Source organism: Homo sapiens, chromosome 20, assembly GCF_000001405.40.
Source record: "Homo sapiens chromosome 20, GRCh38.p14 Primary Assembly".
Lineage (NCBI taxonomy): Eukaryota > Metazoa > Chordata > Mammalia > Primates > Hominidae > Homo > Homo sapiens.
The window spans coordinates 31,906,199-31,920,832 of record NC_000020.11 but is presented as its reverse complement, the minus strand read 5'-3'; the positions used below and the strand labels follow the sequence as shown (position 1 = coordinate 31,920,832).

Here is a 14,634-nt window from a genome sequence, read left to right as displayed (position 1 = left end):
GCTCTCAGGGTAGACCTGCTTCACCCACCATTGTTCCCCACTCAGCTGTGTCAAGACAGAAGCAGCCAGGTCTTCCCTTCCTGGGACCTGGGCCCAGCCCTACCTCCACTCACGTGGCTGCCAGAGGGACTGACCGTGCTCCAGGCAGGCTGGGCCTCCAGGCTGCTGAGCTCTTTCCTGTAGTGCCCTGACAGTTTCATGGGAGGAGTCAAGACATTGAGCACTGCTGTGCGCCTCCTGGTACAGCAGGGGCTGGTCCTATAGGATTTCAGCCATCCTGCTCCTCCCACCCACCCTGCACCATCGTCACCGCTCAGGTTCAGAGGGCTTCGGTCATTTTCCCAAGACCACACAGCTGCTGAGTGGGAGAGGCAGGATTTGAACCAGGATTTCTACTGTACTGTGTCTTGGGACAAGAATGGATTGGGGTTGGGAGGTAGCTGCCCCCGAGGCTCAGTCTAGGCCCTGAGGAAGAGTCAGCCAAACTCTCCCCAGCCACGTGAGCAGGAGGCCCAGATAAAGAACGTGCATCGAGCGCTGAGTGCCAGGCACTGTGCTGGGTGTGTGGGTGTGTGTGAGAATGTGTGTGTGTGTGTGTGTGTGCGCGTGTTTGCTTATTAGCTCACTGCATCCTTAGCAGGTATAATTACCATCCCCATTTACTGGGGCACTGACAGGTGAAGTAACTTGCTCAAGGGCACACAGCTATTGAGTGACTGAGTGGCAAGATCAGGATTTGAACCTGGACAATCTGGCTCTGGAGACCCTGCTCCAATGGGCAGACCTGTGGGCAGAGTTTCTCTGCCAGCCCTCTGAGCTTTGATTGCAGGAAGGAGTGGCCCCTCCTGCTGGCAAGGTCAGAGGAGGGTTCAGGGAGGAAGGGGGAAGAGGCAGGCTCACCTTCCTCCAGTCCACGATGTCCTTCAGCCTACGGAAGAGGAAGATGCCTTTCCCTTGAGACCGGGCTACCTGGGGTGGGATGGGGGCAGAAAGCCAGCTCTTAGCTCTGCGTGGTTCCTTGTTGGCCCCCGTGGCTGGGGGCTCTCCCCAGCATATCTGTCTCTTTTTCCTTATGAACCCCCAACTCTCCCCAGAGGAAGGCTAGCTGAAGGGGCTGGAACAGAGAAGGTGCTAACCCTGGCAGAGGGAGAGAGGGAAGGGAGGGGAAGGGGGAGACTGACTTAGCTCACAAAGACATACATTTGCATGAATAATGCAAAAGAACAGACAATTAAAAAGCCATTTCTAACAGTCCTGGGAACATATCATCCAAATCTTTTTTTGGAAATCAATTTGCCTTCCTAATTAGGGTTTGCTCCGGCTAATACTGAAATCAGCCTGCCTTTACTGAACCCCAGCATGGATAATTCATAGCTTCACACAGTCTAGGGGCTGAGAGAATCTTTGATCTCATATGGAGTGGTCCTCAACAAAGGCATTACTCCCCTTCTACCATTGTAGAAGGACAACAGTCCTCCTGCCTGGCCTTGCACACTCACAGTGCCTAGCAGCTCACTACCTCCCCCACCAATGCCAAACAGCCCATTTTGTTACAGGATAGCTTTGTTAAGTAGTCATCCAAAAGGTATATATGAAGTGCATACTGTATGTTGAGCATTATGCAATGGAACGTTCACAGCCTAACCTGTGTTGAGCTAAGACTGGCCAGTCTGGCTTTGGCTTTTAGGACCTCCTAGAACAAAGCTGATTCCTGGGTGCCAGAAGAGTCCTTTAGGTATTTGCAGCCACTGAGCAGATCTCCCAAGTCATCTTACCTCCAGCATAACTGCAACTCTCATTTCCTTCTGTTCTCCTCTGAGCATGGCCCACCTGGCCCACCCGAGGCTCTCTGTACAAGATAGGGGCATGCAGGGCTGCCAGGTGTGGTTGTACAGGTTGTCTACTGCACAAAGAGCCCCTGCTCTGCCTGCCATGCTGTGCACCATGGTTCAGGGTTGTGTGGGCCCAGAAGACTGGGTGCCAAAAACTCTATGGAGCACTGGTGGTGGCTCAGGGGCAGCCAAATGTGCACAGCAATTTTAGAAAGCAACTAATAAGTGTGCATCAGGAGCTTCCAACAGTTCACGGCCTTGCAAAAGACTTGAACAGGCATTTTACGAAAGAAGATTACCAGTGTAAACATACAATAGCTTGGGCACAGTGACTCACATCTGTAATCCCAGCACTCTGGAAGGCCGAAGTAGGAGGATTATTTAAGCTCAGGAGTTCGAGACAAGTCTAGGCAACGTAGAAAGACCTTGAGATCACATCGCTACTAAAAATAGCTTTAAAAATTAGCTGGGTATGAGAGTGCACCCCTGTAGTACCAGCTATCTGGGAGGCAGAGGTGGAAGGATGACTTTAGCCCAGGAGATCAGGGCTGCAGTGGGCAGGGATTGCACCACTGCACAGCCTGGGCAACAGTGTGAGACTCTGTCTGTTAAAAAAAAAAGAAAGAAAGAAAAGAACGGGCACTCAACTTCATCAGAGGGTTCACCAACAGAGAAGTGCTAATTGACAGAACAAGAGCACCGTCATCTCGTCATCTCGGACAAACACTGCCACTTTAAGTTCCAGTTCCCTTTCTGGCCTCATGCATTTCAAGGAAATCACTTCTCTTCTAACTACAAGCAGACAGAAAGAGCAGACAGTAAAACACAGATAAGACAGCTCGGGCACAGAGGGAGGTGGGGGGAAAGTCTCTTGGGTAACTGCCAAACTTCGCCCTCATACAATGGGCCCCAGTAAAACAGTAGATCTTAATAAGCACATTCCTTTCCCTTCAGGTGCACTAAGATAGGAAAGCTAAAAGCAACCCGGGGGATATGCCTGCAGCTGCAGAAAGATGTATGGGAACAGACACACAACTCTCCCTCCCAGATAAGCACAATAAAGAGACACAGAAGCAGTCCAAGCCTCTAATAAACTCTCCCGCCCTGAATCCTTAAAAACTCTTAGTCTGTAAGAGAGTGTGGCTCTGACCTAACTCAGCCAGAAGGTTCCTCTCAGGTTTGTTTTCTCTAAAATAAACCTGTCTTGACGGGCGAGCCACCTTTCGTGTTTCTCTCCTCTTTCTTTAATTCTTACACTAATGAAAATCACAATATGATACTACTATATACTACCTGAGAATAGTTAAATTAAAGACAGACAATACCAAGTATTGGTGAGGATGTGGAGAAACTGGAACTTGCACACACTGCTGGTGTGAGAGTACGTTGTTTGGAAACTGGCAGCATCTGCTAAAGCTGAACATAGGCATCCTCTATCCTATGTCCCAGCAATTCCTCTCTTAGGGACCTACATGACAGAAATGTCTGCACATGTCACCATGGACATGGCCCCAGACACCCACAGCAGCACTATCATAATAGCTCCACCCTGAGACTCCCCAATGGATGAATATTTAATCAATGGAATAGTATACAACGATGACAGTTAATAATGTACAATTACCCACATCAGCAGAATGAACTGCAAAACATGTCAAGGGAGAGACACCAGACACAAGGTAGTCATCCTATAAGATTCCAATTATATAAAGTCCAAAAGCAGACAAAGCAAACCTACGATGTTTAGTGCCTTGGGGGGTTGTGAGTGAGTGGAAAGGGGCCTGAGAGGGCTGCTGAGGGTAGGGAACGCTCTGTTTATGACCTGGGTGCTGATTATTTGAGTGGATTCACTTTGTGAAAATTCATACTGTGCCCCTATAATTTGGCTACTTTTCTATATTTTATTAAACTTCAATTAAACGGTATCTTTTCAGGTTCATATGCTTTGGTCTAGGAACCCCTATCCCCAACCCTGTTGGCTGCCTTCCCTATGGCCACTTTCCTTCCTCTTCTTCCTTGCTAGCAAAGCCCACCTCTCATGAGGGAGGCTAGAAAGACCAGATGTAGGTTTTCCCAGCTTCCCTTGCAGTTGGTGGAAACCACATGACCAGTTTTGGCCAATCAGACCTAAGGAGACATTTGCTCAGAGATTCCAGGAAAGATGTTTCTCCTTGTTAAAAATATTAGGGAAGGAGCTGGGGAGAAAGGGGATCGGGAAGAAATATCCCGGGCTCCTTCCTTCTTTCTTTGAATGCTACAGTCTGCGGAGATGATGCCTGTGACTGCAGCAGCCATGTCACATCCATGAGGTGACAAGTCTGATGACAAAAAGCCAGCACACAGGATGCAGAGTCGATGGAGAGAAGGAGCCTGGGCCTCTAGTGGCATCATCTAGCACATCCCCAAACCTGGATATGCCTACCCTCAGCCTTCTTGTTCTGTGAGATAACAAAATGCCTTTATTGTTCAGGCCATTGTTAGTAACTTGACATGACTGTTCCAGGAGGTGCCTTCCTAAGGGACTAACCCTAAAGAATGAAAGATGAACCGCCTGCATGGTGTTACATCGGGGCTGATGAGATGGAAATCACCTAATACCTAGTTCCAGCAGATGGCAGTTTCCAAAAACAACCACGACAATATTTCCTGTCCCATATGTTCTCCAGAACCCTGTCAAAAGGTAAATCAATGTCCCCTCCCTTGAATCTGGAAGTGTCTCTACTAATTGCCTATGGCAGAAGTGATGTGTGAATTCCAATGCCAGGTCATAAAAGGCAATATAGCTTCTGCCTGGCTCTCTCTTTCAGGATGGTTGCCCTCAGAACCCAGCAGCCATCCCGTGAGGAAGCCCAGGTCACAGGGAGAGGCCCACCTGGAAGGCAACTGAGTCTTCCAGCCCTCAACTCTGGCTGAATTCCCAGCCAACAGCTGGCACCTACTTGCTAGCCCAGCCAGTGAGCCAGCTAGGAAGGGGATCCTCCAGCCCTCAGTGGATGCTGGAGCAGCCTTCCTTGTCAAGCACTGTCCAAGCTGGGGGCTCACATGAACTAAATAAGGCATTATTGTTGTTTCAAGTCACTATGTTTGGGAGTGGTTTGCTACTCTGAAATAGATAACCGGAATACGAGCTTTAGTAGAATGGTTCATAACAATGGCAATACCAGCAGCCAATACTTACCAGGTGTTTACTCTGTGCCAGACACCGTGATTTATACACGTTACCTCATTAAAGCTTGAAAAAAAACACACACCCTTTGACATAAACATTAATGTTATCCCCATTTTGCAGCCAAGAGAACCAGCGAACAGACAGGCCAAACACATTGCCCAAGGTCACCCAGCCAACAGGTGACAAATCTGAGATAGTTAAATCTGTGCTACACAAACCTGGGGCTCATATACCTCTTGAAAAGTGCCGGGGATACACAAAATCACAGGATAAACACTGCTAGTTCTGGGGGCAGCTCTATTACTTGATGGTTTGGGAGGGATATATTTTTATATTATGCTTTTTTCTTTGAGACAGGGTCTTGCTCTGTCACCCAGGCTGGAGTACAGTGGCAGGATCTCGGCTTACTGCAAGCTCAGCCTCCTGGATTCATGCCATTCTCCTGCCTCAGCCTCCCAAGTAGCTGAGACTACAGGTGCCTGCCACCACGCTCTGCCAATTTTTTGTTATTTTTAGTACAGACAGGGTTTCACCATGTCAGCCAGGATGGTCTCGATCTCCTGACCTCGTGATCCGCCCGCCTCAGCCTCCCAAAGTGCTGGGATTACAGGCGTGAGCCACCGCGCCCGGCCGATTTTCACATTCCTTTCTATTAGGAATGCAACAAATCATAGGAGTGTTAGCCATGCCCGTGACTTTGCCATCTAAAGAGATCACAGTGATTTCGACATCACATTACAATTGTTGCAGATATCTCAAAATATTGTTTATGCTCCTCCTGACTTTGAAATTGTGGTAGCTGTGAGGCCTGCTGTTAGATCCTCTTTAATTGTTAATGAAAAGCGCACATATTTCTATAGCACAAATAATTTTGTAATCGCTTGTGTGGTGGCCATGACAATGCACCTTGCAGGCCTCCAACAGAGTAACTGACTGAGAGTGCCAGCGGCTTCCAGTTGAGGTCTAGCAGTGTTTGCCAGGGCGTCTTGCTAGGGCTGCTCCCAGTCAGTGACTAAGCCCCAGGGGATATGAAGACCGGCCATTCCTGAGAGACAGGGGACTCCTGACAGCCAACTTTGGCTGAGGCCTCCCAGGGGCCTTGATGAACTTTCAAAGGCTGCTCAGCAATAGAAACTTCCAACCTTCCTCCCTCCCTCCCTCTCTTCTTTCTTCGCTTCCTTGGAGGCCTGATTCTCTCCCAGCCTCACCTGCTAGCTCCCTCCCCATTTTTTCTCACCAGCCAAACTGTTTAATTTTGTCTTGGCATCCGTTTCTTGGGGAACCCAGATTAACACAGTTTGATAACGGGTTTTCAGTATAGTTGCCTTCTTTTATAATGGAATGTACTGTATTTTATGTTTTTAAAACCACAATTCTTTCATGGGTACATACTTATCTCCAAACTCATTAAGCTGTCCACATTAAATACGCACAGCTTGTTGTACGCCAATTATGTTTCAATGAAGTGGTTAAAAAAACACCACTATTCTGTGATAGGGTCCACACATTTCACCAGATGTCAAAGAGGCCCATGGCATAAAAACAGTACAGAAGTCTTGCCCTCTTGTTTAAGCTACTGTTATTTGGATTTTCTATTATTTACTGAGTAAAGCATCCCGACTCTTAGAAAGTCTCAGTGAAAAATTCTGAGAAGTTCTGGTTGGGGTAAACTAGTGTGATGGAATGTTAAAATGTGGCTCTTCCTGCCTTGCAGTTTGGAAATAGGCCCCCAAGGCTGAGAACAGCCCCCTGGTTGCCAAGAACGCTCGCTGCCGTGTGTGAAGTGTTAGACCAGCTTGGTGGACGCAGGGTGAGCAGATAGATAGGCCCTGTCCCTGAGCAGCTTGGGGGGCACACAGAGAGACTGACAGGCCCCATCCGTGACAGCCAAGCAGTCGCCTCCCCGCACCACGAGGCGGGCTGGAGCCACAGTTGTCCCATGACCTGTGTCAGTGTCCTGCCCACCTCCCCACCAACCCTGACGGCCTGAACTGCTGGCAGGGGAGAATGCTTCCATGGGAAGAAAGCTAAGAGCGATGCAATGTTTACACTGGACTTTTAAATGCCAGACCCAAGAGCCTGTTCTTATATTCCCCTAAAAGCTCCAAGATGGGCTGGGGCTCTGGCCTGGTAGGAAGAGGGTCCCCACAGGGTGGTGTAGACGGAATGATGCTGCCTGCTCCCTTCTGAGTCCTGGGCTGCTCTGCTGCCACTGATGAGGAAGATGAAGGCTCGGCAGACACCAGGAAAACAATGCAGAGGAGATGCCCGAGGGCTGCCCTGTGACTGGCTGGGCCACACCAACTATGCGAAAACTTTTGCCTGTGGGTGGGCAAAGATCAACCATGTCACAAAGACAGGCCTTGTGGGAAGAGTGGAGGGATTCAGGGGACTCTTCTCCCTCTATTCTCCAAATTTAGGGCAATGTTCTGTTTTTAACACTCTCTCCTCCTGAAAGGAATCCAAATAAGGTCCCGGAACTAATACTCAAACCCAGTGGTTCTCAGAAACTGTGGTACTCAGACCAGTAGCACCCTCAGAACCTGGTGTGATGGTTAATTTTACGTGTCAACTTGATTAGGCTATGGTGCCCAGTTGCTTGGTCAAATGCTAGATGTTTCTCTGAAGGTACTTTGTAGATGTGATTAACATCTACAATTATTAATTTTTTTTTAGATAGGGTCTCACTCTGTCACCAGGCTGGAGTACAGTGGAATGATCTCGGCTCACTGCAGCCTCAACCTCCTAGGCCCAAGTGGTCCTCCCACCTCAGCCCCCAAAGTAGCTGGCACTACAGGCACTCGCCACCACACTCAGCTAATATTTTTGTATTTTTTGTAGAGACTAAGTCTTGCTATGTTGCCCAGGCTGGTCTCAAGCTCCTGGGATCAAGCGATCCTCCCACCTTGGCCTCCCGAAGTGCTGAGATTACAGGCATGAGCCACTCACCTGGCCTGCAATCATTAATTTTAAGTTATCACCCTTGATAGCATGGGGAGGGGCTTCATTTAATCAGTTGAGGGCTTAAGAGTAAAAACTGAGTTTTCCTGAAAAAGAAGCAATTCTGCCTCAAAACTGTAACATAGAAATCCTGCCTGAAGCTCCATCCTGCTGGCCTGCCCTGCAGATTTCAGACTTGCCAACCCCCACAATATTGTATGAGCCAATTCCTTAAACACACAGACATACACACACACACACACACACACACACACACACACACACACATACACATACACGCACACACACACACTAATGCTTTCCTTTCTCTGGAGAACCCTGACTGCTATACCTGGGAACTTGCTAGAAATGCAAATTCTCAGGCCCCCACCAGGCTGACTGAATCATACTCTGGGGTGGGTGGGATGCTTGAACAAGCTCTTCAGGAGATTCTGCTGCACCCTCAAGTTTGAGAACCGCTGCTCCACAATCTCGATACTCAAAGTGTATGCACAGACCAGCAGCACTGGCATGTCCTGGGAGCTGGTAGAAATGCAGGTTCCCAGGCCCCACCCAGACCTGTGAATCAGGCTCTGCATTGCACTAGGTCCCTGGATGCTGCACGGGCACTGTAGCGTTTGAGAAACACTGACCTAGTGCTTTCCCAGGGACAGAGCAAAGAGACGGTGTTTCCTGGACTCGGAAATAACAATGAAAATGGTCAATTATCAGGCACCTAATGCCAAGCCCTTGATATAATTTGTAAATTCATGTGTCGAACGTGTGTAACTTCACTGTATTCTCTCACAACCCTGTAAGGTAGACACACTCATTAATTCCATTTTACAGATGAAGAAATGAGCCCAGAGGGACTTAAGGGGGTCGAGTGACCTGCTCAGGGACATACAGCTTGTAAGCAGTGGACACAGAATTAGAACCCATGCCAGAAATGACTAGAAGCACAGAAGCGCCCACTCTCCACCCGAGACAGGGTGCCTCGCAATTTGGGAAAGAGGACACACACACACACACACACACACACACACACACACACACACACGCACAGACACACCGAGCCAAGATGCCTCCTCTAAATTACAGCTGTAGCTGCCGTTGTGTCTGCTGCTAACAAAGGCTGTGGGCTGGGAATGGAATCAATTTAATATGCAAGTGCTGTTCCCAATTAGCACAAATTACCATTTGTCTGAGAGGATAATGCTGGGAGCTGGAATCCGCCCTGGTGGGTCACAGCACTCCGTGCTCATCAGCCTAATCCCTACTGCTCCAGCCACGGCCTTCCTCACTGCGCCTTCCCTGGACACCAGAGATGCAGGATGGGCCAGGGGAAGAACCTGGGAGGCCTGGGTACACCTTGGCTTCGTGCCTGTTGGGAGCATCCATTGTTTTTGTCAGCCCCATGTCAGTTTCCCCTCCAAGCACCTGTGTTATTGGCTAAATCTGCATCAGCCAACACCAGACACCAGTCTTCAGCTCCACAGGAAAGGGCTGCTCCCTCCACCCTCCTGCTCCCTCCCTGGCCTGGAACATTCTCAGGCCTGGAAAACATAAGAGGGCTTTGATGATGCCATTCAAGGCTACGGTGGCATGTGGCTTTGTGGTGAGTGACAGTTGTGGCACCAGAAAGGGCTGAGTGATTGGTAGGTGCGCTGTTGTCCTCACCTTTCTTCAGTTTCTTTTTCTTTTTTCTTTTTTTTTTGAGACGGAGTCTCACTCTCTCACCCAGGCTGGAGTGCAGTGGGGCGATCTCGGCTTACTGCAACCTCCACCTCCCAGATTCAAGCAATTCTCCTGCCTCCGCCTCCCAAGGAGCTGGGATTACAGGCACCCACCATCATGCCCGGCTAATTTTTGTATTTTTAGTAAAGATGGGGGTTTCACCATGTAGGCCAGGCTGGTCTCGAACTCCTGACCTCAGGTGATCCACCTGCCTTGGACTCTCAAAGTGCTAGGATTATAAGCATGAGCCACCATGCTCGGCCCCACTCAGATTTTTGAGCCCCAATAGGCTGCCTCCTGATACCAAGCCTTTGCATATGCAGTTCCCTCAGCCTAGGATGCTCTTCCCTATCTCTACTTTTTTCCAGGCAGACTTGTATGCATCCTTCAGGTTGCAGCTCAATACTAATTCTGATTATTATAACAATTCTCATTTATTGAGTACTTACTATGTGCTTTACCTGTGTTAACTCATTTAGTCCCCTAACACTAGGTGATAGGTATTATAACAATCCCACTTTGCAGATGGGAAAACTGGAGCACAGAGAAGGTGCGTAAGCTGCCTGAGGCCACACAGCTAGTAAGTGTATCAGTAGTATTTGAACAAGGGGGTAGGCCTCAGAATCCAGTCTCTCACTTCTTCAGAGAAGCCTGCCCAGCCAGGAAGAGCCTCCTGTGGATCCCTCTCCTGACACCATTCTCCTTAATAACAGCACAACTGCAACTGCATAGGTCTCCTTTGTTTGCTTATTGTCTGCCTGCAAAAAGGGCACAGACCCAGGCTGACTTGCTGAGGGCTGTGTCTTCAGCACCTAGGTCTGTGCCTGGCACATGGTACATGCTCAGTAAGTATTTGTGAAATGCTTGAATAAGCAAGCCTCAAGTTCTTCATTGCTAAAATGGGGCTGTTGATCCCTCCCCCGAGGGTCACTATGAGGACTGGGGTAACGCAGGTAAAGCACTTGGCATGTCAGGAAGACAGGTTCCAAATTCCCTGCCCTGGCGTCCTAAACATCACTTGTGCATTCAATAAACACTCATTGAGCACCTACTGTATGCTGGCAGTCATAGCTGCTGGGTCCACACACTGCAGAGAAGAGGAGCTAAAGCTGGCCCTTCGGGAAGGCAGACAGCATCTAAGGCTGAATTCCCAGGCAGTGTCTGCACCTGATCCCTGCTATGGCACCTGGGACTCATTCCCTCCCACCCAGCCCCTGGCACTGGGCACTCACAGGCTTCATGATCCAGGTGATTCCTGGGTTTTTGCGAAACTCCTCTACAAACAGGTGGTACTCGCAAGGCATCTCAAAGGTTTTGGGGAAGAAGTCACACTTGGCTGCCTCCAGCTTTCCTGCCTCACGCTCCAGCTGCTTCCGGAACCGCTTCAGGTTCTTCACCATGTAGTTCTTCCGGGTCAGCTGGGTGGCGGGAAGGACAGGCGGCCATTAGCTCCTGCTCACAGCCCCGCTCCCCTCCCAGCCCCACACATCCACCAGCCACCCTGCAGCCTCCATGCTCTGGCCCACAAAATAGCAACAGTAAGAGTAACTTTGACCCAGAAAGAGCTTGCTAGTCAAGAATTATCCCCACTTCACAGATGAGGAAACTGGGGCTTAGAAAGATTAAGTCAATTGCTCAGAGCTATCCAACGAAGGTGCTGCACTGCCCCAGGATTTGACCAGGGCCTGTCTTGACTCCAAAATTCATGCTTTTGGCCGGGCGCAGTGGCTCACGCCTGTAATCCTAGCACTTTGGGAGGCCAAGGTGGGCGGATCACAAGGTCAGGAGTTCGAGACCATCCTGGCTAACATGATGAAACCCCATCTCTAACAAAAATACAAAAATTAGCCGGGCATGGTGGTGAGCACCTGTAATCTCAGCTACTCAGCTACTTGGGAGGCTGAGGCAGAAGAATCACTTGAACCCAGGAGGCAGAGGTTGCAATGAGCCGAGATCATGCCATTGCACTCCAGCCTGAGGGACAAGAGCAAGACTCTGTCTCAAAAAAAAAAAAAAAAAAAAAAAAAAATCATGCTTTCAACCGCTAAGCTACACTAACCTTTAAAAATCTCCCACCACTGCCTCCTCCAGTCCTGTCCCTTCTAGACCTCCTTCCCATCTTTAGACCCCAAACTTCTCAACTTGCCTCCACCCTGAAATCACCATAATCATTCATGCATCCTCTCCCTTCAGACCCTGCACCCTCAAACCATCTTGCTCCTCAAATCTTGGTGCTGAAACTCCAACCAGCCTGTGACCTCCAGTCCTCAGGCCTTGGATCCCTATACCCTGAAACCATTTGGCTCTCCATAGGTCTAGCCCGCAGACTTCCCACTCGGCGTTGCATCCCACATTCTAATACACTTTTCTGATCCTTGTACCAGCTCCAGCTCATGGCCACACCCAGTGACATGAGTTGGTTGGCACAGTCCCTCCCGCCTGCCCAGCTCACCTCATAGTGGTTCCGGAAGTGACTGATCCGCACATGTTCATCCATGTAGGTGTGGTCGAAGTTCTCCCGGAGCCAGCTGACGTCACACCAGTAGAAATCCCACTCCCCTTCGCTGGGGGTGGGGTGGGGGCGGGGATAAAGGTCATGGTCTGAGGACCTTGGCACTGCAGGGCCCAGGGAGGTGCTGCCGAGGGGGCTTGAGGAAGGGTACACAGCACTGTGTCCCTCTAGAGTCTCTTGGAGGTGGCCATGGGTGCCACTGGCCTACATGTGCTTTGTTAGACCAGAGCAAAAGCCAGGGAAATGTTCCCACAAAAATCCAGGTGGTTGGCTTCCCTTGAGCTATCACTGAGCCCAGAGTGCCTCCTGGCACCTATTAGCTGGGCTGAGGAGCAGCCACCCCTTCAGACAGGGCACGCCCTCCTCAAACCACAGTCCCCATGACTCTCTGTGGTGTGACAGCCACTCAGCCTCACTTGTTCTTGCCAGTTGCCACGCGTGCAGCCCGCAGTGGAATGAGATAACCTTTGCAAGCCCCTCCCAGTTCACAAAACTCTCCACTCACTAAATCCTCAGAGCAGCCCCCAAAGGTGATCTTGGATCATCCCCAGAACTCTAAGGCAAGATGGCCTTGCTCACTGAGGACATGGCAGCAGCAGGACCCACACCCAGCTCTGCCGGCTCCAAATTCTGATCCCATTCTCCACCACCATGCCAGGGAGAGGAAACCGGGCCAATCTACCAAATCTGGGTGCCAGAGCTGGGGTGCGGGGAGGAGGTGTTTGAAAAAGATGCCACAGGAAATAAAACACTATCATGATTGTTCACAATTATTTTTAAGTAAAAAAGTACAGATACAACTGAAGCCCCCTGTCTATCCCTGCCTGATTGTATCTCCTTCTGTTCTGCCGCGAAGGAAACCATCAGCCTGAGTTTGGTGTGTTATCATTTCTATGCAGTGGTTTTTTTTTTTTCTTTTTTCGAGACGGTGTATCACTTTGTTACCCAGGCTGGAGTGCAATGGCGAGATCTCAGTTCACTGCAACCTCCTCCTCCCGGGTTCAAGCGATTTTCCTTCCTCAGCCTCCCGAGTAGCTGGGATTACAGGTGCCCACCACCGCAACTGGCTAATTTTTTATTTTTAGTAGAGATGGGGTTTCACCATGTTGGCCAGGCTGGCCTCGAACTCCTGACCTCAGGTGATCCACCTACCTCGGCCTCCCAAAGTGCTGGGATTATAGGTGTGAGCCACCGTGCCCGGCCTGCAGTGGCTTTATAGTTTCATCATGTATATATGTGTGTATCCATGCATCATGGCACATGGCGTTGTTTGTCATGATTTTAAACCTAACGCTAATACTTATTGCTTACCATGTACCAGGCACTGCTCTAAACACTTCACAAATATTCATTCACGGATCCTCAGTGCAACCTGAAGTGTTAGGTTCTGTTATTATACCCATTTTACAGATGAGAAAATGGAGGCAGGCACACAGAGAAACTCACCTAGTTCATGCAGTTAGTAAGTGGCAGAGCAGGATTTGAACTCAGGCCTCAGGCTCCAGAGTCCAAGCTCTGTGGTTAGAACCCCTCCTGTCTGTTTCTTTTCACAACATGCTTTTTTCCCACCAAACTTTTGTTCTGGAGATCGATCCTTTTGATACATAGGGGTCGAGTTATTCTAACTGCCATTTCCCATTCCATTGGGTGAACACGCCACAGTATATCCATTTTCCTATTAAAAGGTGTTTGGGGCTGGGTGTGCTGGCTCACACCTGTAATCCCAGTATTTTGGGAGGCCAAGGTGGATGGATTGTTTGAGTTTGGGAGTTTGAGACCAGCCTGGCCAACATGGTGAAACCCCATTTCTACCAAAAACACAAAAAATTAGCCAGGAGTGGTGGCATGCACCTGTAGTCCCAGCTACTCAGGAGGCTGAGGTGGGAGAATCACTTGAGCAGGGGGGTGGAGGTTGTGGTGAGCCAAGATCATGCCACTGCACTCCAGCGTGTGTGACAGAGTGAGACCCCATCTCAAAAAAAAGAAAAAAAAGGTGTTTGGTTTGTCTCCCTTTCTCCCCACCCCTTTTCTCTAATATAGACAAGTAGGCTGAGTTTTAAAAGACATCTGGAGGAGGTCTGAGGCAGAAATGGAGAAAAATGAAGAGACATCACCATCACCTTGGGATGATGAAGGAAGAGGCCCTGAACAAGACCAATGGGGAGGATGCAGGGGCAGACTGTAGTTCCAAAAGATTCCTACACTATATCCCTTATCCAGAGGCTGCGGGGCCGTGAGGCCGCAAGGAGAACCCATGAGAACCTTCTTCGGCTGTCTGCCCTAGTGAGATCCCCACAGACAGCTAGCATCGACTGCCACACGTGTGAGTCAGATGCCCTCAGACAACTCCTGCCACCAGGTGACCTCCAGATCTGGACTCTTCCCAGCTGATGCCCCCAATGTCACAGAGACAAGCCAGTCCCACTGTGTCCTGTAAGAGTCCC

At 49.6% G+C, this 14,634-nt stretch overlaps 1 protein-coding gene across 10 annotated transcripts in view, besides 2 other annotated features; it reads right to left on the bottom strand.

The window, feature by feature from the left end:
- Positions 1–14,634, bottom strand: part of TTLL9 (tubulin tyrosine ligase like 9) — a 74,367-nt gene that overhangs the window by 24,168 nt on the left and 35,565 nt on the right. For 7 of the 10 annotated variants that reach the window (NR_148014.3, NR_134519.4, NR_148012.3 and 4 more), the window contains 3 exons: positions 12,131–12,242; positions 10,911–11,096; positions 901–969 (listed from right to left, as the gene is read on the bottom strand). The exons of 1 other annotated variant lie outside the window; for it this stretch is intronic. Coding sequence is in view for 1 of the 9 variants with exons in the window: in NM_001008409.5 (NP_001008409.1) it covers positions 901–969; positions 10,911–11,096; positions 12,131–12,242 (367 nt within the window). In the remaining 8 variants the exon portion in view is untranslated. The remainder of the gene's footprint in view (positions 1–900; positions 970–10,910; positions 11,097–12,130; positions 12,243–14,634) is intronic. 2 more of the 10 variants (NR_148010.3, NR_160277.2) reach the window with 1 other exon arrangement.
- Positions 2,354–2,403: an enhancer, noted in NCBI's record as "active region_17703". NCBI's record gives its function as "activates an Ori minimal core promoter by ATAC-STARR-seq in GM12878 lymphoblastoid cells {active_cell/tissue: GM12878}" and the evidence as "EXISTENCE:reporter gene assay evidence [ECO:0000049][PMID:35858748]".
- Positions 10,933–11,227: an enhancer, noted in NCBI's record as "tiled region #918; HepG2 Activating non-DNase unmatched - State 20:ReprD, and K562 Activating non-DNase unmatched - State 22:ReprW". NCBI's record gives its function as "activates a minimal TATA promoter and a strong SV40 promoter by Sharpr-MPRA in HepG2 and K562 cells {active_cell/tissue: HepG2 | K562}" and the evidence as "EXISTENCE:reporter gene assay evidence [ECO:0000049][PMID:27701403]".